The sequence below is a fragment of the Homo sapiens genome, chromosome 20 (genome assembly GCF_000001405.40).
Source record: "Homo sapiens chromosome 20, GRCh38.p14 Primary Assembly".
NCBI lineage: Eukaryota > Metazoa > Chordata > Mammalia > Primates > Hominidae > Homo > Homo sapiens.
Genome location: NC_000020.11, coordinates 39,116,162 through 39,140,921, shown reverse-complemented (window position 1 = coordinate 39,140,921; position 24,760 = coordinate 39,116,162). Strand labels below are relative to the sequence as shown.

At 47.5% G+C, this 24,760-nt stretch overlaps 1 long non-coding RNA gene across 1 annotated transcript in view; it reads right to left on the bottom strand.

Annotated features, from left to right (window-relative positions):
* Nucleotides 1-10,890, bottom strand: part of LOC107985448 (uncharacterized) — a 90,007-nt gene extending 79,117 nt beyond the window's left edge. Inside the window, exons 1-2 of the long non-coding RNA XR_001754587.1 lie at nucleotides 10,831-10,890; nucleotides 9,669-9,755 (exon numbers count right to left, since the gene is read on the bottom strand). This is a non-coding gene — a long non-coding RNA (uncharacterized LOC107985448). The remainder of the gene's footprint in view (nucleotides 1-9,668; nucleotides 9,756-10,830) is intronic.
* Nucleotides 10,891-24,760: the final 13,870 nt, after the last annotated feature.

Genomic DNA, 24,760 nt, shown 5'->3' with positions numbered 1-24,760 from the left:
CCTGGGCAACACAGTGAAACCCTGTCTCTACTAAAAAATTACAAAAAAAAAAAAAAAAGCTGGGTGTGGCAGCATGCACCTGTAGTCCCAGCTACTTGGGAGGCTGAGGCAGGAGAATCGCTTGAAGCTAGGAGGTTTCAGTGAGCCGAGATCATGCCATTGCACTCCAGCCTGGGTGATAGGGTGAGACTCTATCAAGAAAGAAAGGAAAGGGAAAGGGAAAGGGAAAGGAGAAAAGACAAGACAAGACCCCAAGTCACTGAGTAGGTAGCTACTGTATTGACCAACCCTAGAACCACTTTACATCCAGAGTCTTCTATATCCAAGCTAATGAATCGTCCTCATTATTTAACACTATTTTCATTGAGGTTTTTGTTACTTATAACAAAAAACATTCTGTCTCATCAATAAGACAGGTGCATAACATCTCTGTGACCCTATATCTCAGCTGTAAAATGGGAACATCACTCACTTTTCAATGATGACTTAGCTAATGGGACAATCATAATCATCATACCCACCTTACCAGATTCCTGTGGGGACCAGGTGAGCCTGCATTTTAACGAGCTGTTTAAAATTGAAGAGCAATTTGCAAAGCTCTATGGAACTGGCAACGTCCTTACAGTTTACTTTACTCAAGTGGTTTTCCCATCTTTTGCAGATACTAAACCCTGTTTATGTAAAATGTTAGTGAAAGCCCAGTATCCGCTGTGGGAATAAGAAGATGACAGTTTTGCTCTTTCTAAGCCCAGCAGGCTTCTAAGGAGGCTGGCTCAAGAGGCAGCCCTGCCCAGCTTTGTTCAGCTAAGCTCTGTGATGGGGTTGGTTACTTGAGTCTATGGGAGCTGAACTGCTTGTCCTATTCAAGGGAGAGGAATTGAGACCGGAGGAAGAAGGGGAAGAGGGAAGCTGATGTTTGCTCCATGGCTGAAGGATGTGATCCTCTCCCCAGCATCCAAAATTTGGGTAGAATGGACCCATCTCCTTATTCTTGGTATGTGGGTGTTGTGGGGGATGCCAACAAGGAGGTCATGTGTCAGGGCAGACGCAGAAGCCAAAGGGGCCAGAGTCTCAGAGGCAGGGGAGGGCCAGAGAGGAGCAGTAACTTTCTTGAGGTCACATAGTGCTGCGAGGCAGGGCTGGGATTCAAATACAGGTGTAGCAGCCAGGTGCATTGGCTCACGCCTATAAGCCCAGCACTTTGGGAGCCCAAGGCAGGCGGATCATGAGGTCAGGAGATCAAGACCATCCTGGCCAACACGATGAAACCCCGTCTCTACTAAAAATACAAAAATTAGCTGGGTGTGATGGAGCATGCCTGTAGTCCCAGCTACTCAGGAGACTGAGGCAGGAGAATCGCTTGAACCAGGGAGTCAGAGGTTGCAGTGAGCCAAGATCGCACCGCTGCACTCCAGCCTGGTGACGAGCAATACTCCATCTCAAAAAAGCAAAACAAAACAAAACACAGGTGTACTTGATCCCAATGCACTGCATTGCATGCACCCCACTTGCTGTGGCTGCAGTCACCAGGACACTCCTGCCACTCACCTGATTTGCTTCCCTGCTGCACAGCCTTGTCCCCAAGGAGGCCTCTTAGCTTCATGTTTGAGAATCTAGAGTCCACAGAGCCATGAGGCTAAGCAAGGCTGAACCTTGCTTGGTGCCTGGAAACTGTGTGTGGTGTGTGGTGAGTCCATAGTGTGCATGCATAGTGTCTGTGCATGCACACATACACGGGTGCACACACTCCTCTCAGATGTGTTGGCCCTGCCCCTGGAAACCTCTGCTGAAATGAACCCCTCTGAGCTGGACTGCACTGCTCTAGGCACGGAGATTTTCCATAATACTCCTTTTCCTCCTTAGACTCCTCTAGCTCCTGTCTTCTGGGTAGGGAAGGCTGGCTATGGGCTTAGGAAGGGTGGTCATAGGACCCCCGTCTTAGGCCAGGATCCCCCAGAAGCAGACCCTGAGACCAGGATCTGAGAACAGCAGTATATTTAGGAGGTGGGTCCAGGTAAGGCACCAGGTGTAGGAGAGTGATATAGGAAATGAAGACAGCCAGTATGGGGTGTGTTCATGAGCTGGGGAACCCTGTAGGCAACTTGGCTTCAATCCACTGGAAACCCCTAGGAAACGGGGTAGAATATGCCTCAGAGCTATCCCAATAAAGGATAATTCCTGTCTTCATTGGCTGGGGCATCAACCTTCAGCGCTTATGGTCTGCCCTGCATGCAATCCAAGGGAAAGCCTCAGTTGAACAGAGAGTAAGATTCCATCAGCAGGAAGCAGAATTGGGGGAGGATGCATGGACAGGGCACTGGCAGAGTCCACTGGGCTCTCATGCTTCTGTCTACCCACCAACCTGGAGCTCCCTGAGAACTTATCTCCTCCCATCCTTTTACCTGCCCCAGGCCCTACCTTTAACTTTGTGGCTAAGAGCTTGGACTCTGAGACAGACTGCCTAGGTTCAAATGCTGCACTTAAAAACTGTGTGGCCTCCAACAGCATGCAGAACCTCCCGAAGCCTCAGAGAAGAAGCCTCCCTTCTCTGCAACACGGGGTTGATGTTTCCCAGGTTGTGCAGCTGTTGTGGGGGTAGAATAAGATAATCCATGTCCACTCTTAGCATAGTGCCTGCACACAGTAAGCACTTGCAGAACGCTAGCTATCACCCAGGGTTGTCATGCACTGCTGTGTAGGTTGACCCTTGTACCAAGGCACCTAGCCAAGGGGGAGCCAAGTGCAGCTGGAGTCCAGCCTGAGCTCCCCTTCCTCGCCAGGCTCCTCAGTGGGGCTGCCTCAGTTCAGAGGAAGGAGTGCCTCATTCTCAATGGCCATCAAAGGGGACAACTTGCTATCACCTATTTGCCTTGAGATGGTGCCTTGTTCTAAATCTCAGAGCTGCCACCTGGGCTACTGGTGGCCCTGAATATTATTATTGTCTTTATTATGACTCCTATTAATAAGTTAATTCATGGAAGGTATCTCTTAAAGAGTAGAAAACGTAGGCCAGTGTTTCAACAATTGCTCTGTCTAACCAGAAGCATTTCTCTAGCAGGTTAGGACAACTTAAGGGGTTATTTTGGTCAATGACCCTTCAGTCCTCTAGACAGCAAGGCCCATGGCATGTCCCCTGCTTCCCAGCCCCAAGGGAGCTGGCAGGGACGGGTGGCTCCAGGAGCACTTGGAGCTATGAGCTGTGTGCCATTCACAGGTCCCGACACTACCAGTTGAACAATCAAAGCAAAAGGTGATTTAATGAGCTTGCAAGGAAATACTTGACCCAGGACTTCTGGGGAAATATCTGTTTTTTTCTGGCACTGCACCCTTGGTTGCCAGTGGGGCATGGAGGGGAAGCTTCAGATTCCTTGTGAAATAATCAAAATAATGGGAGAGAGAGAAGGAAGGACACAAGATTCAGCTGGTCAGCATTTTCCATGTGCCAACTTCCCCACTCCTGCCCACTGTCCAGAGAGCTCTGTCCCTACATTCATGCTCCATAAGGATCCAGCCCAGATCCAGGCACACCAGCCCATCTCCTCTCCTTAGTCATGAAGGGGTCACCCATAGTTTCCCATGGTCCTCAGGGGCCTGCCCCAGCCCCTCCAATCTCTTTATGTCCACTCTGAGCCTCCTCCAAACCTCTTGTGTTCATGCTTCAGGGATTCAAACAGATCATGCTACCTCTGAGAGCAAACCAGGCTCAGACCCTGAACTTACCTGAAGTTTAAAACTTATGAATTTTGTTTTGCAGTTGAAAGAGACCTTTTTAATTTTCTTCTCCCCACACTCCAAACCCCTTCGTAAAACAATCTGAGTTCCCACCAGGAGAGCGTCCCGGAGTTCCCCTCGTGGTATGCACACGGAGATGCACATCCCTTTCCCCAGGGCCCAGCCCTGACTCTGTGTTGTCAAGGAGACCGGAGCTCACAGTGGGAAGCATACTGTTCAGCTTGGAAGGCTTACTCTGTCCACCTGGAACTATTCACCCCTGCCCAGAGCCAAACCTCCCACTCAATCCCTGGACAGTCTGTCTAGAACAACCTCCCACCTTGGTCCAACATGACTAAGCAGGGCATCAGGGCAGAGCTGAACCCCTCACTGCAAACCATCCACCTCACAGACCAGCCTTCCTTCACCTGCTCCCTAAAATCTCCGAATTCTCCCCTCCTTTGGGAAGAGCTTCCAAAAGCCCAGTGCAAACACAGATGTTACCTGCGGCTGGGGCCCTGTTTATAGAGCCATGTTCACACACACTGCACACACTCACAGTTGCAGAATGACCAGGGACACATACACATGCAACCCATAGAGTCGCTGAAGCTTCAATCATAGGAAAGGAAAAAAATCATAAGAACTTGCACACACCCACACCATTTGGGTACATATGTGTATTTACCCCCTTGCCCACATACATACACATGACCATGATGACGCACGTGTGCACATGTTCCCACCTGCACACACAGAGATGCACAAATAGAAATGCAAGCTATATACATGGTCACTCACCAATACATGTGCACATACATGCACAGGGCACACAAAGCACATGTCCAAGTGCATGCACACATACCAACATGCACAGACACGCACATATCCTGGACATGCACACGCACGCACGCACACGCGCGCGCACACACACACACACACACACACACATACACACTCAGGCATTGCTCTGAAAGCCCAGATTAGAGGGAGTCCTGCTCCAGACTGGCTGGGGGGCTGCAGATGTTCCCGTAGAGAGTCAGAGTAATTAGTTCTTTAATTAAAGTCCCCTCGCTGCTCACTGGCCATGAGGACCAGCACACACACCGGCACCTGGCTTGGATCCTGACCATCTTAGAAGCTGCAGATGGGCCAGGATGATGCTGCCCAGAGGCTTGGTCTGGGTGGTAATTAGGGACAAGGACTCAGCTGAACAACTCGCAGCCAACCAGCCGTTTCATTTTTCTCTTCCAGGAGAAAAGGTCCTGCTGGCTCCACAGCTCAGCTTCTCCATGTCCTCATTATGCCTCTGGCTCAAGCTCTCCTTCCTGCCTGCCACACCCTGCATCCCCAAAACACACACACACACGCGCGCGCACACACACACACACACACACACACACACACACATAGAAAGGCCCAGGCCAGCACCAACCACAGCTTCCATCACAGCCTCACCCAGGGCCAAAATAGGAGTTAGTGTAAGTGCCTCACCCTCAGTCACCTACAGCCCCAGCCCACTTCCCACCCATATACCTCCTTCCACAACCCCTCAAGACAAATTCATCCCTTCCATCCTGTGTGTATTAATGCCCTAGGGCTGCCCTAGCAAAATTCTACAGACTGGGTGGCTTCAACAATGGAAATTTGTATTCTCACAGTCCTGAAGCCCAGAGTCCAAGCTGGTTCCTGTTGAGGGCTATGAGAAGTCTGTTCCATAAGAAGATCCTTGTGATGCAGGAAAGGTATGGGCACATCCCTGAGGTCCCCAGAGCAAGTGGGATAGGATGAGACAGGTGGGAGGGCTGGGCAAAGATCAAACCATGGGGGGCTTCGTAGGCCTTATCAAGAAGTGTGGATTTTTGGCTCATGCCTGTAATCACAACACTTTGGGAGGCCGAGGCAGGTGGAACACGAGGTCAGGGGTTTGAGACCAGCCTGACCAACATGGTGAAACCCCAACTCTACTAAAAATACAAAAATTATCTGGGCGTGGTGGCGGGCGCCTGTAATCCCAGCTACTCAGGAAGCTGAGGCAGGAGAATTGCTTGAACCCGGGAGGCGGAGGTTGCAGTGAGCTGAGATCGTGCCAGTGCACTCCAGCCTGGGCGACAGAGCAAGACTCCGTCTCAGAAAAAAAAAAAAGAAGAAGTAGTATGGATTTTATCCTGAGAGCAGAGTGGAGTGCAATGATTCCTTTGTGTCCTGACTTTCCTGTGGAGCCTGTATTGGAAGGGACCAGGGTGGAAGTTAGGAGAAAACAAGCCATTTTGCAGGGCCCTGTATCTCAATGCAGCTGAGCAGGTGCACGTGTCACGGTGAGGTCATGCTCCACATTCCCAGCACATTTTAATCCACCAAGGATTTTGATGTTCAAATAAATACATTCCATTCCATTACTTTGAATGCCAATCCATTTCCAGCCCTGTGCCTGTAAGTAATAGATTGAACATGGCATTGAGGTGATTTCTTAGCTTTAAGTTTGAACCCTCTTGAGCCCCCAAGACTCTGGAGTCTACAGGAATTTCTGGGAATTCCAAAGAGCTGACATGGATTGTATCAATTGCTCAGCAAACTCCAGCCCCATGCCAGGCAGGGCAGGGTTGGCCCTCACTTTTCTTGCACCAGACAGGGGCTCCCTCTGCTTCCTGAACACACCAAGTTCACACTCATCTCAATGTCTCTGCATTTGCTGTTCCCAAAGCCAGGAACATTTTTCTGTTAGTTCTTCCAAGGCTGATTCCTCCTTCTCCTTCTGACCCTCACATCTGTCAGCTGCTCAGAGAGGCCTTCCCTGATCACCCCATCCAAGGGTGGTCCCCCCTGTAATTCTTCCTTACCGCATCCTGCATAGCATTTGTCATCATTACTTCACTGGTTTATGCCTATATTGTCTGAGATGTTCCTCTCAAGATAAATTCCCTGAGGGCCTGGGCATATATCTATCTTGTTTAGAAGGGAGGAGGTAGGAAAGAAAGAGAAGGAGGGAGGGGAAAAAAAAGAAAAGAGGAGAGGAGGGAAGAATGAAAGAAGAAAGGGAGACAGAGAGGGAAGGAGGGAGGGTAGATGTTTGGTGGTAAAGATTCAAATGATCTTAGATTTTAGATCAGGGTTTCTCAACCTCAGCACTGCTGACATTTTAAGCCAGATAATTCTTTACTCCGGGGGATTGTCTGGTACATTCTGATGTTTAGCACATCCCTGGCCTCTACCATTAGATGCCACTATCCTACCATCCCTCCCACCGACCCCCACCCAGTTGTGACAACCAAAAGTGTCTCCAGACATTGCCAAATGTACGCTGGAGAACAAAATTGCCTCCAGTTGAAAACCACTGTTGTAGAGGCTTTCAATCTGTTTTCAACAATCAAATTCTTATTTCAAACATGCTTATATAGAAACTCAATATATGAAACACATTCCACTGGAGCTGCTCTGGGGCTCTGTATTGGTCAGCTACTGCTACGCTAATGCTGCACAACAGGCATGCCAAAACTCAATGACTTCCCACCACAAGTACTGGTTCTCATGCTCCTGGGTCTGTAGGCGGACTGGGCTCAGCTCATCTAGGCTGGGGTCAAGGGATTGGCTTTGCCTCCCACTGAAAGTTGGCTGGAATTGGCTTCAGACCACAAACAAGGTTCAGGTCTGTTCCATGCATGGTCATGCTGGGACTAATTCGGATATGCTTATCATGACAGCAGTTCGCCAGTGTGCATGCAGGAGGGCATGAGCCAGATAGCACAAGTGTGTTCACAGCTTCTTCTTGTTTGAAGTCTACTAATGTTTCACTGTCACATGAGCAAACACATAGGCAAGACCAACATCAATGGGGCAGGGAAATATGACTCCACCACTCTGCACAGGGAGGTGAGTGAAGCTTTCCTGAACAATAACCCATCTAGGCCAAGCCTAAGAACACACTGATCCAGACAGTTGAGGCTCATGGGAAAGGCCCAGCTATAGTCCTACACTGACTTTTCCCCAATACCAATCCCTCGACGAGCCCCTGACTGGGGCTACACGAGCGCGTCCCATGGCTCTGAACCAAGGGACAGTCCACAGCACACAATCAGGAGCTGGAACCTGTGAGGCTGCCCCAGGCCTGTGTGCTGGGCCACACTCACTGCTTTCACCTTCCTGAGCACCTGCAAGTGTGGCTTTCACTCAGCAAACATTTTCCCAGTGTCTGCTCAGTGCCAGACACTGTCCAGAGCACTGGAGATCCTGGGGTGAGAGTGGAACACACAGCCAAGTGGATGAATGCCCCACTCCCCAGGGGTGGCCCCAACAACCACACAGAAGGGTGCCACTGTCGCCCACAAATCTCCTCTTCTCTGACGAACACTCCTGGCATTAATCTCTTCAGAATCTGTGTTTGGGGCCTCGGAAGGACTCTTTTCCTGTGGCAGCTCCAGCCCCTCAAATAGGGATCCTTTGAGATGGGGACTTGTCTCGTCAAGATAGCATCATGTCTAAACTGAGGCTGTGTCAGCAGCCCCATGAAAATGAATAATGGCCTCAATTATGACCCATATAACAGCCCAATAAAATCTAATTAAAATGATCCATGTCCCATCTGCGAAGTGTAGGGCAAGGCAGCCAGGGAAAGTTGGAGGCCCAGTCAATTCAAGGAGAGCAAGTAACATGAATAATAATTATATTTATATTATTGTAAATAGATCCTATATAAGCATATAATATAATAATAGCACTATTATTATTATTATTATTATTATTATTATTATTGCAGCTAGCATTTATTATGTGCTTCCAGTGTGCCAGTCCTGGGCTAATAGAGGCTATCCCTCATACACTGGACAGGCATCATCCCATTTAATTCTCACTAGCTTGCCAAAAATTAAGTGCTAAGCATTATTCCCATTTTACAGATGAGAAAACTGAGGCACAGAGAGGTTAAGTAACTTGCTCAAAGTGACACTGCTAACATGTTAGTAATGGAACCAGAAGGTCAGGCCCAGCAGTGCCTGGTCTGCAAAAGTTGTTCAGTATGTATGTGTTGGATGCATGAACAGATTTGGCCAAGAGTCTGTCAGGCAACCCAAGATGCCACACAGACAACCAACAAATGTTTGTTTAGCATTAACTAAAACCTAGGTGTTCTATTAAAAATAAAGTGTGGAGAAAGACAAGCCAATCATTGAAATCTAATATGATTATTGCTATAATGAATGTATGTACAAACACAATGGGTAGATGGGGTAAGAGGGACTTAATTCTGCCTGGGAAATCAAGGAAGACTTATGATAGGAGGCGGCACTGAAGCTGGGCCTTAAGAGATGAGTGAGAATTTGCTGGACAGACAAGTAGAAGGCATTCCAGGCAGATGGAACAGTATATGTAAAGTTATAAAAGAGTCAGAGCCCAGCATTTTCTGGGACTTACAAAGCTACATAGTATGAAATAGCAGGCTCATAGTCTAGGCGGAGCATGACACGAGAGTCTGACAAGAAGGCTGGCAAAGTCAGCAGGTCAAGATCATCAAACACCTTTTAGACCAGACTCAGGAATTTTGATTTTGTCCCATAAGCAATAGGGAGCCATGGAAGATTTTAATCTGACCATAGAAGATATGGTCAGATTTGCTCGTTTGAAGGATTCCTTGGGTAGCTGGGCAGGGAATGTCTCAGGAAAGACAGAAAAAAACAAATCCTGGGACATTTGGACATAGCATCCCCTGCAGGAGCACAGATTGACAAATCTAAAATTTTTTTAGAGAAAAACCTTAAAACAGGTCCAGTATGGTCAGATGGGCGGCCTCAGGACCAACTCCTACCTGGCACAAAAGCCAGAGTTGGACCAACACCCGCTGTCTTTCCCTAAGTAATGAGTAGAATGCTCACAATATCTTTAAGAGGTTCTCCATAAGCCTCCCTTGCCTCCCGCCGGGGAAGATGACTTTTGAATCCTGGGTACCATCACAGGTCTCTACTTACCAACAGAATGGCAGGAGATGGTACACGCTGTCTCCTGCCTCAAGGCCTGAAGTTCAGGAAGCAGCTGACTCCTCCAAATGGATGGATCTTTAAAAAACCAAGAACACCAAGGTCACAGGCATGTGAGACAGATTGGTTAAAAAAACGGTCTCTGTCGTTGCTTTTGTCATTCAAATGCTCTTTGACCCAGGAAGAGGTTCCAAATGCATAAATAGAGCAATAAGCTCAGCATCGGTGTTTTGATAAAATGAGAGAGGAGGGAAATACGTATTATAAACACCACCTCCGGGAAGCACAGTCAGAAAAAGTTATTAAACATTCTGTCGCAAGCTTGGCAGCCAGCACTGTCCACCCACCCCGCACTGAGTTCCTAATAAAGGCGGCATCTTGGAATTTGTCACTCTCGAATGCATAATTTACTAGTGAAAAAGCAGCGGTAATACATTGCATTTTCATAAGGGGCTCTGAAGCTGTCTAATTTCCCTGAGCTGCAGGACGACAGGAGGCTATGGCCACTTGCGGGGGCCTCTTTATGCATTATGAATAGACGCTTTGCAATTCAAAGTGACAGCTCAGCCTCCCTGTCGCCCACCCTCCAAAATCCCAGATCATATTGGAAGGCCCAGAACTAAAGCATGGGTCTTCCCCCAAAGCCTACAGCCCTTTGGTGCCTAGAAGTGAGTGAGTGAGAGAGAGAGAGAGAGAGAGAGTGTGTTTGTGTGTGTGTGTGTGTGTGTGTGAAGGTAGAGAAAGAAACAGAAATCATTATCTGGGTCTTAACAAACATAATCAGATAACAGCCTGACCTATCACTTGATTACATATTTGTGAGATGGGGCAAAGGACAAGTAGGCAATGATTGGATAGGACCAATCAGCCCCATGCCCCAGACAAGCCCTCAGTGTCCTCTTCAGCCCCAAAAGTTAGACAAACACTGACTTCTCTGCAACCTGAATTACAAAGTCTGTAGGTGCATAACACTAACAGTCATGGCAACTGGATTGGAAAGGTCTTGGTGAGTCTTTGCAGCGCCCTTATAGGGGAGGCAGAAGCAGAGAATGAAAATCAGGCAAAGAGATGGGCGCAGCCTTGGGCAGAGGCAGCTCAATGTGGTGGAAAGAGTTTTAGACCAGGATGCAGGAGATCTCTACTCTAATCTCACCTCTCACAGCAAAATCTTGGGACCCCAGGCAAGTCCCTCCACTTTATCCAGGGATGGCCTAATAAAAAGTAAAACAGGTTGGTGTATTAGAAAGAGTATAGGACAAGGAGTGGAGAGAATTGGGTCCAAATACAGCTCTGCCAACTGACTCACCTGTGGCAGTGACCACCACAACACCTGGGGTTTTCCTCTACTCAGACACATTTGGCCCCAGTGGTCAAATGTGAACAACTCTTCCTTCCTCGGGGCCAAAGGCCCAGTCCATTTTATTACAGCCTGTCTTACCTTTTATGAAGAGAATGCAGAGCTAAACTGCCTGGGTTTGTCTCAGCTCTTCACTAACATCTCTAGGCCTCAGTTTCTCTATCTCTAAAATGGGAATAAAAATGTTACCCACTTCCAAGAGCTATTAATGCCTGACTCAGGGCAGAGGTGCTGGAGAGGAAGATCACAAGAAAAGTGTGGCACTGAGATGGAGCTCAGAAGTGTCAGGCAAACGAAGGGAGCAAGGGAGATTGTCATGTATGGGCTGAGTCAGGACAAGACAAAATAGCTCCTGGCAGTGCCTATGTTGACAGGGTCTTTCCAAATCCTGCACAGCCAGAGATGTCATGTCCAGCTTTCTGCTCCCAAACACATGTCATCTTGGCTCTCTGATCCCCTTCTTGAGGGTAAGTTGTCAGTGAGCAAGGCCACAAAAGCCAGAGGAACATCCAGCCTCAGTAACAGCTGGTTCTACACAGTGGCAAGTGTGATCAACCCAGTCAATATGAAGATGAGTGAAAAGTAACAATAACAATATCTAATAAGAAGAAGGAGGAGGAAAAGATTGCATTTCATCCTTACAACTATTCCCACAAGAATGAAGCTAGTTCTCTTCATCTTCTCTATCCTCCAGGGCTTCCTAGGCCCTTGGTGATGATAGACAAGCACCCAAGAGTAACAGAGGTGAGTATCTCTTAATAGCTAGTACCAGAATACCCCTGGGAGTAGGGGCAGACTGTCTTGATAGAAATGCCTCAATAAGCCACTGAGGCAAGGAGTCAACAAAGGAAAACAAGCAAACTTCTCTGCATATAACAAGGAGGGGAATATTTGTTACTGAGAAGAGGGGGCAGGGAGGTTTAAAGAGGGAAAATGGTGAGATGGAAGAAGACAAAAAGCTAGAAAAAATGGTGCCCAGTGATACTGACTGAAGCCCTGATGGTAGAGTGGATTGGAGGCTATTAGGGAAGAGACTATTTCCCTGTGGTGCTAACCTCTCATCCCCAAAATACATCTTCACTTGAGTTCTACTACACTCGGTGCACTCATAAATGCTTGGAAGATGTGGTGTTGTTCATGGACCTCAAAGAAAAGACTGAGTTTTCCAGTCTTAATCAAGACTTAAATTCTGATGGCAGTAGGCCCAAGGTGGAGGAGTCACTGAAAATATAACACTTGGAAGAAGAGGCAGAGAATTTGGGAGGGTTTGGGGTAAATTTTAGATATAAAATGGGAGCACCAACCGAGCTTATCCAGAACTCAAAGGACCAGGAGGTGCCAGACATCTGGAATCCATGGATAATTTCTGTCCAAAGTGTATTCCTAGGATATATACAAACTGCAATGAGAGCAACAGGGAAGGGTAGATAACTGCCAATGTGGGCCTTGGCAAGCAAATGAAAGTTTCTCAGTCCGTAAGGCCATTTATTCCAAGAAAAGGAAATGACATGTTCAAAAACACATAGTTATAAACAGGTATTGTGTTTGAGCATGGCAGCTGGTGCAGAGAACTTCGAAGGTTAGGGGAACACACAAGCAGGTGGAAAGTTGAGCATGGAGAGGCAGAGGGGTAGGCCCGGACAGATCAACATAAGTCTCACGGCGAATCAGAACTTTGTCCTGAAGAGTGAGGATCACTTAAAGGACTTTCGTGAGTGTCCTGTCATGGCCAGATCTATGATAGAAGTTCAGAAGAGAGGAGAGCCTAGAGTCACAAAGACAACAGGCCCAGGGAAAAGAAATGAGGCTTGACCCAAGATTGTGACAGCCTAACAAATAAACAGACAAACAATAATAACAAAAACAAAAATAGACAAGAGCAAGATAGTGGAATAGAAGACTCCACCGATTGTCTCCTCCCACCCCAAAAGGACACCAATTTAACAACTATATACAAAAAAAAAAAAAAAAAAAAGCACCTTCATACGAACCAAACACTAAGTGAGCACTCACAGTACCTGGTTTGAATTTCACATCGCTGATGAAGGCCCTAAAGAGGTAAGAAAAACAGTTTTAAATCATTGATGCCACCCCTTTCCCAACCGCCAGCAGTGACAGTGTGGTATGGAGAATCTCACTGTGCACTGGGGAGAGGGAGATCACAGCAATTGTGAGACATTGAATTCAGTGCTGCCCTATTATAGCAGAAAGAAAAATGGATCCAAACTTAGCTGACCCCACCCACAGAGGGAGCATCTAAACCAGCCCTAGCCAGAAATGTATTGCCAATCCCAGTGATCCCAACTTGAGTTTCCACAAGCCTCGCCACTGCAGGCTAAAGTGCTCTGGGGCCCTAAATTGGAAGGGCAGTCTAGGCCACAAGGACTACAACTCTTAGGTGAGTCCTAGTGCTGAACTGGGCCCAGAGCCAGTGGACTGGGTGAGTATATGACCTACTGAGACACTAGCCAGGGTGGTTGAGGGAGTACTGGCATCACTCCTCCCCTAACCCCAGGCTACAGAGCTTGTGGATCCAAAAGACACCCTTCCTTCCACTTGAGGAGAGGAGAGGGAAAAGTGGGGAGGACTTCGTTTTGCATGTTGGATACCAGCTCAGCCACAGCAGGACAGGACACCTATCAGAGTCAATGAGGCCCCCTTTCCAGGCCCTAGCTCCCAGACAATATGTCTAGACATACCCAGGGCCATATGGGAACCCACTGCCTTGAAGGGAAGAACCCAGTCCTGGGAGGATTCAATAACTACCAGCTGAAGAGCCCTTTGGCCCTGAATAGCCAGCAGCAATACCCAGGTACTACACTGAGGGCCTTGGGTGGGAATCCAAGACTTGCTGGCTTCAGATGAGACTCAGCACATTGCCAGCTGTGGTGGCTATCGAGCGTCCTTAACTCCTGCTTGAGAAAAGCAGAGGGAAAAGTAAAGGGAGGGGACTTTGTCTTGCACTTCAGGAACCAGCTCAGCCACAGGGTGGGTAGAGCACCAAGCAGGCTGTTGGGGTCCCCGATTCCAAGACTTGGCTCTTGGATGGCATTTCTGGACCTGCCCTGGACCAGAGAGGAGTCCACTGCCCTGAAGGTCAAGTCCTAGGCCAGGCAGCATTCATCACAAGCTGACTGAAGAGCCCTTGGGCCTTAAGGGAATATTCCAGTAGTCTGGCAGTACTTTCCATGGGCCTGTGGTGCCTGTGACCCCAGGGTGAGGCTCTTCTGCCTTTGGAAAGGGGAGGGAAGAGTGGGAAGGATAGCATCTTATGGTTTGAGTGCCAGCTCAGCTGCAGTACAACAGAACATGAGGTAGACTTCTAAGGTTTTTGACTCTAGTCCCTGGCTCCTGGACAGCACCTCTGGACATTCATTCGGTTCTATGTCCTTCCACCGTGTGATATTTTTTTCTGCTAAGCAGTCATCAGATTTAGCAGCCCCTGTAAGCTGTTTGGCTTAACCAGGGCTTCTCTTTCTCCAAAGTCTGGAGAAGGTCAAATCTCTGAATCAAAAAAGACTGTGGTGACCATGGTGTTCTTCACGTCCCATCAAGATTTCTGCTTCACTGTGGATGTCAAGATAGACACAGATGGGAAGACATCCCTCTGCTGGATTAAATCTTCTTTGAGAGGAGGTGGTTACAACACTGTAGTCTGGGGGGTTGCTGGCCCAGCTACCTCACTCACAACTGCAAACATTGTGTCTACAGGGCACATCCACCCAGACTTTGTGAATCCAAAGGGTAATCGATTAAAGTGATTGCCTTTGCTGTGCATGGTTGGTGATAGATGGGTTTCTTAGGCTGGGTTCCCCAGAAGCAGACCCTGAGAGGAGGATTCAAGGCCAAGTAGTTTATTTAGAGGCAATCCCAGGAATCAACAGTTAGAAGAGTGGAGAAGTGAGACAGGAAGGAAAGAAAAGCAACAGAGTGTGTTGCTGAGTAGTTTGTTGCCATGGACAACTGAGGCTCAATCTCTCTGAGGAATTTTAGGAGAGAGGAGAGTGTAGAACAGCTCTCGGTGTTACCTTACCCAAGAGGCAAGGAAATTGGAGTATTTACCCTCCAACCTTTTACATATCAGGCTGGACAATGGCCTCCAATGATATCATATTCTGATCCCTAGAACCAGCGAATGTGACCTTATATGGCAAAAAAAAAAAAAAAAAAAAAAAGGATTTTACAGATGTAATTAAGGACTTTGAGATGTGAAAATTTTCCTGAATTATCCAGGTGGACCCTAAATGCAATCACAAGTATCCTTATAAGAGGGAAGCGGAGCAAAATTTGACACAAACAGAAGGGAGAAGGCAACATGACCACGGAGGCAGAGATTGGAGTGATGTGGCCATGAGTCAAGGAATGCCAGCAGCCACCAGAAGCTAGAAGAGGCAAGGATCAGACTTTCCCCTAGAGCCTCCAGGTGGAGCATGGTCCTTCTAATATCTTGCTTTCTGCCCAGTAATATTGATTTTGGATTTCTGTCCTCCAGACTTAGAGAGAATAAATTTTTGTTGTTTTAAGCCATCATGTCTGTGATATTTTGTTATAGCAGCCACAGGAAACTAATACACCCCATCAGGTAGTGGGTGAGGGCTCCTCCCAGGGGCATTAATTGTCTGCACGTCCAGCATTCCCCAGAAACAGAGAAAAATATCTCTTGCAGAGTCACAAATGCTTACAATGGAATGCCAGTGTGCACCTCCTGCAACAATAAATGCTAAGGGGCTATGGGCAGGCCACAAACATCAGTCTCAGTAGGCATGACCTGGGTTGGGCTGTGACACTGCATTAACCCCTGAGTTGTACAAAGCAAGGGGCTCTGGTTAAGCTTGTCTGGGTGGCTCCAAGTTTAAATTCTCACCTTTCTCCGCAAGGGAACAGCCTAATCTGCCCAGGTGCTGGGAGCTAAAGCCCCAGGGAGTTAGCGTGTCAGAATACTCAAGAGATAGGCATGGGAGAAAGATGCCTACAGCTTAGGACTAGAGTGGGGAAAACCTGCATCCACAAAACCCAGCCTCCCCAGCTGGCCAGATCTACCCAGATGCCACTAGGCATACCTTCTGGGTTAAGGCTTTGGAGAAGAAGCATGTCAGCTGGCTCCCATCTCCTGACACCCCAGTTATTAATAAATGTTATGCCCAAGAAAAAGGTTCTATGGCCAAACAAGTTTGAGTCAAGCAGAATCAAGTAAAGTTAGACTAACTCTTCAAGAAAGGAATATTATGCAATTTTCCCAATTTTTTGTTACAGATTTTTCTGTGTGAATATCTCATGAGATTTGTTTCATGAAGCACACCTGGAAGTGATGAGCTAGAAGACAGCCGGAAAGAGAAGGCAATGCAAAGGCATGATTGCTACCAGGGTTGGGGGATGTTTACAGTGGACTGAGACCCTGACCTGGGTGCTTTTGAGGGTTGGCTCCTCTACCTTCCCCACTCCGTGAAGAAGGTATTGGGGTCCCCGTTTCACCCGTTTCACAGGTGAACAAATACAGGTTCGACAAATAAATGGTGGTTGGATGTGCAGGGCTAATCCTGCCCATGGGATGATAAAGGCAGCTCCCCCTGGCTGGGTGGGGGTCATCTGAGGATTATCCAGAGAGAAGATGAGCTACACTCAGGTGAATCATAAACTTGCCTTGGGGCTTTCATAGGCTGACTCACGGCTGGAATTTGAGGGCCAGGATGAGTTTGACAACCGGGCTAATCATGAGGAAGAACAGAATGTCAGGGCTTGGGTCAGCTTGGCTCCCTAACTTGTCTGCTCCCTTCATCCCCATGTGACCACACCTGAGACTGTCCACCTGAACGCTGAGCCAGGGGGATCATAATGGAGGGGCATGGCTGGCATTGTGGGGCTTCCTGTCCTGGTTTCTGCTGGACTAGTCTCATCTCTGCTTCATCATCAAAAGGAGTGAAGTGAGCTGATGGGTACTAGAAGTGAGCAGGTTAAGATCGATGGCTGGTGTGTGTGCCTTCAGGCCCCTCAAACTCCTGGCTGTGCAGGGAAGCCCCTCGCTGCCCCTCCAGCATCCACTGCCTTTGACCCCTAGCTCTTGCTCAGCCCAATCAGAGCCTACAGATGTCTTTGCTGCCACTGAGCCCACCTGCCCCTCAACCAGGTCACCCAGGCACAGCATCTTCATATCCAATGATGGACTTTATTAAAGATGCAGAGACCAGGTAGGAACAACCATACTTTACAAACACAGCCAAGGGAAAGCCAAATTCTCCAAGCCTGGTCCAGAGAGGATGTGTATGCTGCATTTGGCTGAGGTACCTTGGGATATTAGACCCATGGAGTCAGCTGAGGTTGGAAAACCAGGTAACAGCCAAGTTCTGGGGCTGGCAGGAAAGGGATGACTGTTGTGAAGCCTCAGACAAGGGCCACAGAGGAGGGGGCAGAACCTGACTTTCTGCTGCCTCTGCAACATCTTGCTACTCTAAGTGTGACCCCTGGAGCAGCAGCAGCAGCGCCTGCAGGCTTAATGGAATTGGCCAGTCTCAGCCCCACCCTATACCCACTGATCAGAATCTGCATTCCAACCAGATCTCCAGGTCATTAGGGCACATTCAAGTTTGAGAAGCTCTGTCTGCGCATATCTGAGCTTCTCTTTCACCAGAACTGGAGGCATGAAGGAAGCAGGAGGAAATGAATTATCTCCCTGCCTCCCTCCCCTTACACTCGTAGGCTTTCTGAGCTGCCTGGTGAGCCCACACCTTCCTCCCACCTGGTAAGTGTGGGGACCAACTACCGGGACCCCTGAGGGGTCCCTTTGCCTCCCTCTTCATCATCGCTCGACTCAATGATCCCAGGCCTAAGGCGGCCTGAGTGGGAAACCGGCTCACCTCCATAGCTAGCCCACACTCTGCACCAGCCCTGTTTGGCCTGTGGGCTTCTCAGGGGGACCCCTGCCTCCATCTGGAAAGAACATGGAGCGATCCCTCCACCCCACACTTTTGTGTCTTTGTAAAATGTTTAGTGAAAAACTGCCGACTATGTAAATCAGAGATCATTAGAGGTTGGGTTTTTCCTTAAAGAATGGATTCAGCGAAATGCTGTTTTCTCCCTGGCTCTGGGTCTCTATTTAGGGGATTGGAGCTCTGCTTATTTATTTATTTATTTATTCATTAGCTGGGCCCACAGTCAAGGAGAAGAGAGCAGGGCTATTAATCTTTCCTGTCATCCATTCACAGATGTGGAGTTCACACCACAGCAAATGTGAAGTCAGCAGTACACAACCACAAGGTGGAAATTTCAAGAGAAACAAGCTTAGAGGAACAAAAAAAAAAAATAGGAAGGGAATGGGGGTGGGGTGGGGGAGACGGAGATGCAGAAACAGAGCACATTTAAAATACAGTGTCTGAGCTTCCCTGGGCGCTTGTGTGTACTGAGGGTAATCTTGTTCTCAGCATGGAGGTGCCATTGATATGTTAATAATAATTTTCTTTTCTCTTCATCCTAAGGAAATGAAGTTTGCAAACTGATTCTGATGAAGGAGGTCTGACTCCGTGTGTGTGTGTGTGTGTGTGTGTGTGTGTGTGTGTGTTCATAGACTGAGACAGACACACACACACTCCCTTCTCTACCTATTTATGGCATCAACTGAGTAGATTCTGGAAATCTCCATAGAAAGGCAAATAGTTGAAGGCTTTAGGTGCCCCTTTTGGGATTGATGTGATTGCCAGATCCTGGGGTGGAGAGATGTCTCAGCGGCTAAAGAAAAAACCTGGCAAAGTCATAAGCAGCTCTCACACTGAGTCCTAACATGGGGAGAACCCACTCTCCAGCGTCCCTAAACCAGTGCTGGTCAGGGTGCAGTAGATCAGAAAAATCAGCCCTCAAGCCTCCTAGAGCTGCTGTCTTCCTAAGCCTGGTGATCTGCACGACTCCTGATGCATGTGTGCCCAATCCTGCTGTGGAGTCGGGCTGGCTACTCCCCTGCCTCAGTTTCCTTCTTGCTCTGTTTCTGCTTTGGAGGCTGAGGTCCTGATACTGTAGCTTTGTGCTTGTCAGCTCTTTCCCCCACTGGGCCTGGAGAGAATGGGTGGCCAGAGTCCCAAAGTGTACCAGCTTATCTGAAGATTCCAGAAACCCTAGTGCTGTACCCACTGCTCAGGCCAGGCTCACTGTTCATTGATCCTAACCTGGTGCAAACCTGACCTCATCCTTTACTTTGAGCTGCTGCCATTCCAGTGGGGTCCTCTCCCCCTCCTCATCTGCATCTTCTGCCCTCTGGTCTGAGATGCAGAAGTCCTAGCCACGCAGCCCCACCCAGGCATAGCCACATCTCAGATGGGGAAGCCTGAGTCCAGTTCTGCAGGGCGTGCGGTCAGCACAACCCTGAGAAAAAGCAGAGAAAGGCTGCCACTTCAGTGGTTGCTCAAGTCAATAACGTCTCTCATCAGAATGTGAGCTCCTTAGGGCATTGAGACCATGTTTATTCATCTCTGCTCCTTGACACTTAGTGGATTCTCGGTGAACATTTGTTGAATTGTGTTGAGTCCCGGGTCAAAATCAGAGTTGACAAAAAGGCTGGCTACCTGCGAGCAGTGACTAGGTTTGTGCAGAAAGTACTGCGTGAGCTCAAGCTTTCCCTCTGGGTTAAGGAAAGGATGGCAAGTATGCTGGGTGATCAGTGGAGGGCTGTGTTGAGCAGGATTCTGAGGCTGTGTCTGGATTCAATGGGAAGGTTTGGTGATCCCTTAGCAAGTCTGCTCTGAGCACAAGAAGGGGCAGGATGATGCTTGCGCCTCACACTAAGCATTAAAGGGTAGCTGCCCTGAGTCATGGAGCTTTGCCCCAAGTGTGGATTTGCAGGTCCTGTTGGAGCCTGAGAGCAAAAGGCACAGGTTTGATGGGAAAAGGAGGAAGAACCAGACATGGAGCTCAACCCACAACTCAAGGAGCCCTGTCTTAGGTGGGGGCCCCAGTAGGAGGCTGAGTGTGGGCACAGGACACTCTGGGACTGGAACAAGTCTTGAAATGCATAGCACAGGGACCACAAGTTAATGAGGCAAGGCCAGGCTACACCCCCACCATTCTAACCACAACCCATCCCAGCACTCATAGGATGTGGCAAACACACGTGAATCGTCCATCCAGAAAATCCCTGCCTCCAGAAATTCCAGCTCCTTTATTGCCATGTTCATTTCACATCTGTAAAGTAGAAATATTAAAATCCAGTCCTAGAAGGAATTGAGAACACATTCATATCAATAGCACAGTGCCAAGCACAGCCCACCGCTGATGGATGCCACCTTCCTGAATGGCGACGAGATGCCCAACATGCTACCAGCACTCTTCCCAGCCTCTTCTCTCAGCTCCCACCACCCAAAACCCCATGTTCTCTCTTACCTCTGGCCTCTGTTCATGCTTTCCTCTGTTGGCAATCTCTCCCCACACCTTTGCCAAAATTTCTGAACTCACTATTTAGGTCTTGGTATAGACATTGCCTACTCCAGGAAGCCTTCCCTGATCCTACTTCCCACCAAAGCCAAGCACTTACTTCTGTCACAGTATTGTCACGCTACATTGTCATTGCCTATTTATCTGTTCATCTGTTTATGTTTCTCTTTTCCACTAGACAACAGACTGGCAAACTTTTTCTACAACAAGCCAATAGTAAATAGTTTAGGCAGTACGGGCCATAGAGTCTCTGTCACAACTACTCAGTGCTGCCATCATAGTGTTAAAATAGCTATAGACAATATGTAAACAAATGAGCATGGCTGCATTCCAATAAAACTTTATTTACAAAAACAGATGGTGGGTCATATTTGGCCCACAGGAAATAGTTTACCCAACTTTGCACTAAGAGGAAGAGCTTTGCAAAGCAGAAAATGTTTCCTATTCAACCATCCCTTACATAGTACCTAGCACAGAGAAGGTACTTGATACTTAATGAACAAAGGAACAGTGTTAAAAAGGTTGTTTGCAAACCCTGTCATGGCCTGATAGGAATAAATGAACCCATCACATTCCTGAAGTATAGAAGGGCTGCCTAAGCATTATGCCTTAGCCTGAATATGGCTGGGACCACTGCATGTGCTAGAGAGTGTGCTGAGCCTGGAGTGTGCCCAGGGTACAGGCCACATCTCCAAGCAGGACACCCTTCCCTGTTCCTCAATCTTGCCTCTCCCTACCTGTCCAGATCCCTGCCATTCCTGATAGGTGGGCACCAATATTGCTTCCCCTGGTACAATTGCTTCTCTTGGACACCGCTTCTGCCACCACTGAGTATGCCACCTCCTACCCGCTGCCAGCCACAGTCACTGCAGATGTCTAGGGCCACAGGGGTTCAAAGCCCCAAGGTGAAGAATTGTGATTTGGGGGGAAAAAAAAAACCCTCTTCCATGTTTAATTCCCCCAGAAGGGACTCATAGCAATGGTGCTTAGGCCCCAACATCTCGCAATGTTTTATTGGAATAATCAACTCTCCCCAGGGACCAGTCATGAGTCAATGGTGGGGATAGGGGTCATACAGGGAAAAAAAACAGAGACTTCCATCATGGAGTACTCAGAAATGCCCCTCTCTTCAAGGACTGGGATTGTGTTATTTGGATAAGCTCCTTGGCCCAGTTCTCTATTACCCCAAAGGAGCTCACTCTCCTAAGAATCCTCAGTTCCTCATTTCAATAGCCCCTGCTGATTCAGCCCAGCCATCTTTCAGACATTCCTAGATAAATACAAAACTTCACTTGCACACAACATAGGTTTAACCTCAATACCTCAACCTCCAACCCCCTCTGGGTAAATATGGTAGATTCTGTTTTCAGTCTCAATTCTTACTCCACCATACTAAGATTATACATCTCAACTTTTGCCACGTAACTTGCAGTGCTTGCACTGCTCTCCCACTGGGAGAGAAGCTTATGTCTCTACCCCCATGGATGTTTTGCTTGGCCACGTGACTCACACTGGCTGATAGGATGATAGTACGCATGACCAGGCAGAAGCCTCATGTGGGCACAGATGGTTTACTTGCCCTCTGAGCTCCTCCTATTCTCCATGGGAAGCTCATGCTCTGGAGAGCCACTGCTCCAAGGAGAACAAAGCTCTGTGGAACAGATCTGAATCCCACATCCTCCCTGGAGTCCAGCCTGGCCCAGCCAAAATCCCCTGAACCCCAGCCAACCCACAGACCCATAAGAAAGAAAAATAAATGCTTGTTGTTTACCACTGACTTTGAGGTGTTTTGTTATGCAGCATTACAGTAGCAGTGACTAAAATAACGAAGTAGGAAACTTGCTCCAAACCTTCCCAGTGGGCTTCCAGGGACTGATTTACCAGGTTAATAAAATGCTTGGAGGTACCTACTTCCCTTTACTTCCCTGGCAACAGTTCCAACCATTTGGATCTGGCTGTACTCTCCATTAGTCCAGTTACTGGGAAAGCTCTGAGCTTTAGAAGTCTTTCACTTTCAGTTGGTTTTTACTTTCTGAACATCTAAGCAGGCTATGGAGCTCCGTGGAGGCTCCCCTGTTCACTGTGGGCTTTGAGGAGGAGTCTGGCTTGGCATCTTCTAAAGGTGATGGAAAAGTTAATTGTATAATGGCACTCATTAATAGACAGGGCTAGACAGTCAGAGCTGTCCTTGAGTCAACTGCTTATGGCAAATGAATGGAGAATTGAAGCTCTTGCCTCCATGATTCGTGACTGAAAGAACAATTTATTCAGAAATATCCACTGATTTTAGAAGGAAAAAATTCTCATTTGAAATTATCAGGCATTAGCCTTGATTCCACAATTCCCAGCATAGTCTAGTTTTGCAGGTGTGAACCACAGCCTTTGAAACTCATGAATTGGGTGAGCCCATTGGAGCAAATCTCAAATGCAAATTCCTTCTGTCTGACATGAAAGCTTGTTGAAAAGTTGTTATGCTAGATTTTGCAAAAAAAAAAAAAATTGGTTGTAATTATTCACTTCTCATATCCACATCCCTTTGCAATTTGCCTTTGCAGACCCTCCTATCAAGAGACAGAGATTTCCCCACACTTTAAATCTGGGCTGGCCTGGTGATTTGCTTTGACCAGTGGAATTCAGAGGAAGTAATGTTGTGCCACTTCCACTGAATGCTTTAGTTTGTTCTCTTGGAACTCTGCCCAGCCTTCATGTGAGCAAGCCTGGCTTTCTGGTGAGAGATGGCATGAAGCACCAATGAGTCATCCCAGCTGAAGTCTTCCTAGACAAGTCAACACAAAGCTTGCCCTAGACACATGGGTAAGTCTGGCCAAGACCAGAAGAGCCACTCAGCTGAGCTCAGTCCATATTCCTAACTCAAGAGAATCATGACCTGAGTAAATAGTGGTTGTTTTAAGCCTCTGATTTTAAAGTAGTTTTTATGGAGCAAAACTGATACAATTGTCATTACTAAGAATGCATTAGGACTACCTCACACCCATCAGGATGTCTACTAGCAAAAAAAAAAAAAAAAAAAAAAAAGGCATTAGTGAGGATGTGGAGAAATTAGAACCCTCATACACTGTTGGTGGGAATGTAAAATATGTAAAATGGCATAGTCACTGTGGAAAACAGTATGGCAGTTCCTCAAAAAATTAAAACTAGAATTACCACATGATCTAGCAATCCCATTTCTGGATATACAGCCGAAGTAATTTCAATCAGTATGCCAAAGAGATATCTGCACACCCATGTTCACTGCAGCATTATTGACAATAGCTATCACACAGAAGCAATCCAAGTGTTTATCAATGGATAAACAAAATATGGTATATACATACAATGGAACATTATTTAGCCTTAAAAAAGAAGGAAATTCTGATACATGTTACAACATGGACAAACCTTGGGGACATTATGTTAAGTGAGATAAGCCAGTCACCAAAGGACAAATATTATATGATTCCACTTATATGAGTTGCTTAGAATGGTCAAATTTACACAGATAGAAACTAGAATGGTAGTAACCAGGGGCTGGAGAGAGGAGGGTAGGCAGGGGATGGGAGTTATTGTTTAATGGGTACAGAGCTTTAGTTTTGTAAGATGAAATGAATTTTGGAGATGGATGAGGATTTGGTGATGATTTGCATAACAGTATGAATAAACTTAATACCACTGAAATATACTTAAAAGTGGTTAAGATGATAAATGTTGTGTGTGTATTCTACCATAATTTTTAAAAGATAAATGCATTCAGGTGGTGTTGGGAACTTTCTGGGAGTGAATAGTGTTCAGAGAATCCTCAGCCAATCTGTGAAAAGGCATGAACTGCAGGGGAGGAGAAAGGAGGCACAAACACCACTGTGAAATGCCAGCGGGATGGCGGGTGGTTCAGACAGGGCTCAGAGTAGAGGGACTGTGATGTTAATGTTGGATGCTGAATTCATCAGGATTCTTTGGTTGCAAGTGACAGAAAACTAACTCAAACTAGCCTAAAGTAAAAAATGAAAACTATTTTCTGCCACAGCTGACAGCAATACATGCTCAGGCACCTCATAGAACTGAAGAAGGACCTGCCAACAAGACTGGGTCACCAGCTTCCTCTTCTTTGTTCTCTCCTAGAGCTCTGGCTGTGAGCAACCCCTCACCTCCTTCCAGATCAGTGACCCCAGAGGCAAGTCAGCTTCTCCAGCTCCTAACTGGAAATCCTGGGGAGGCATCTGATTGGTCTGACTTAGACCCCGTGTCTACTCCCAGACTAATCACGGTCTAGGGCAATGGAGGATTCTGATTGGCCAGACCTGGATCAAGTGATCCTGTG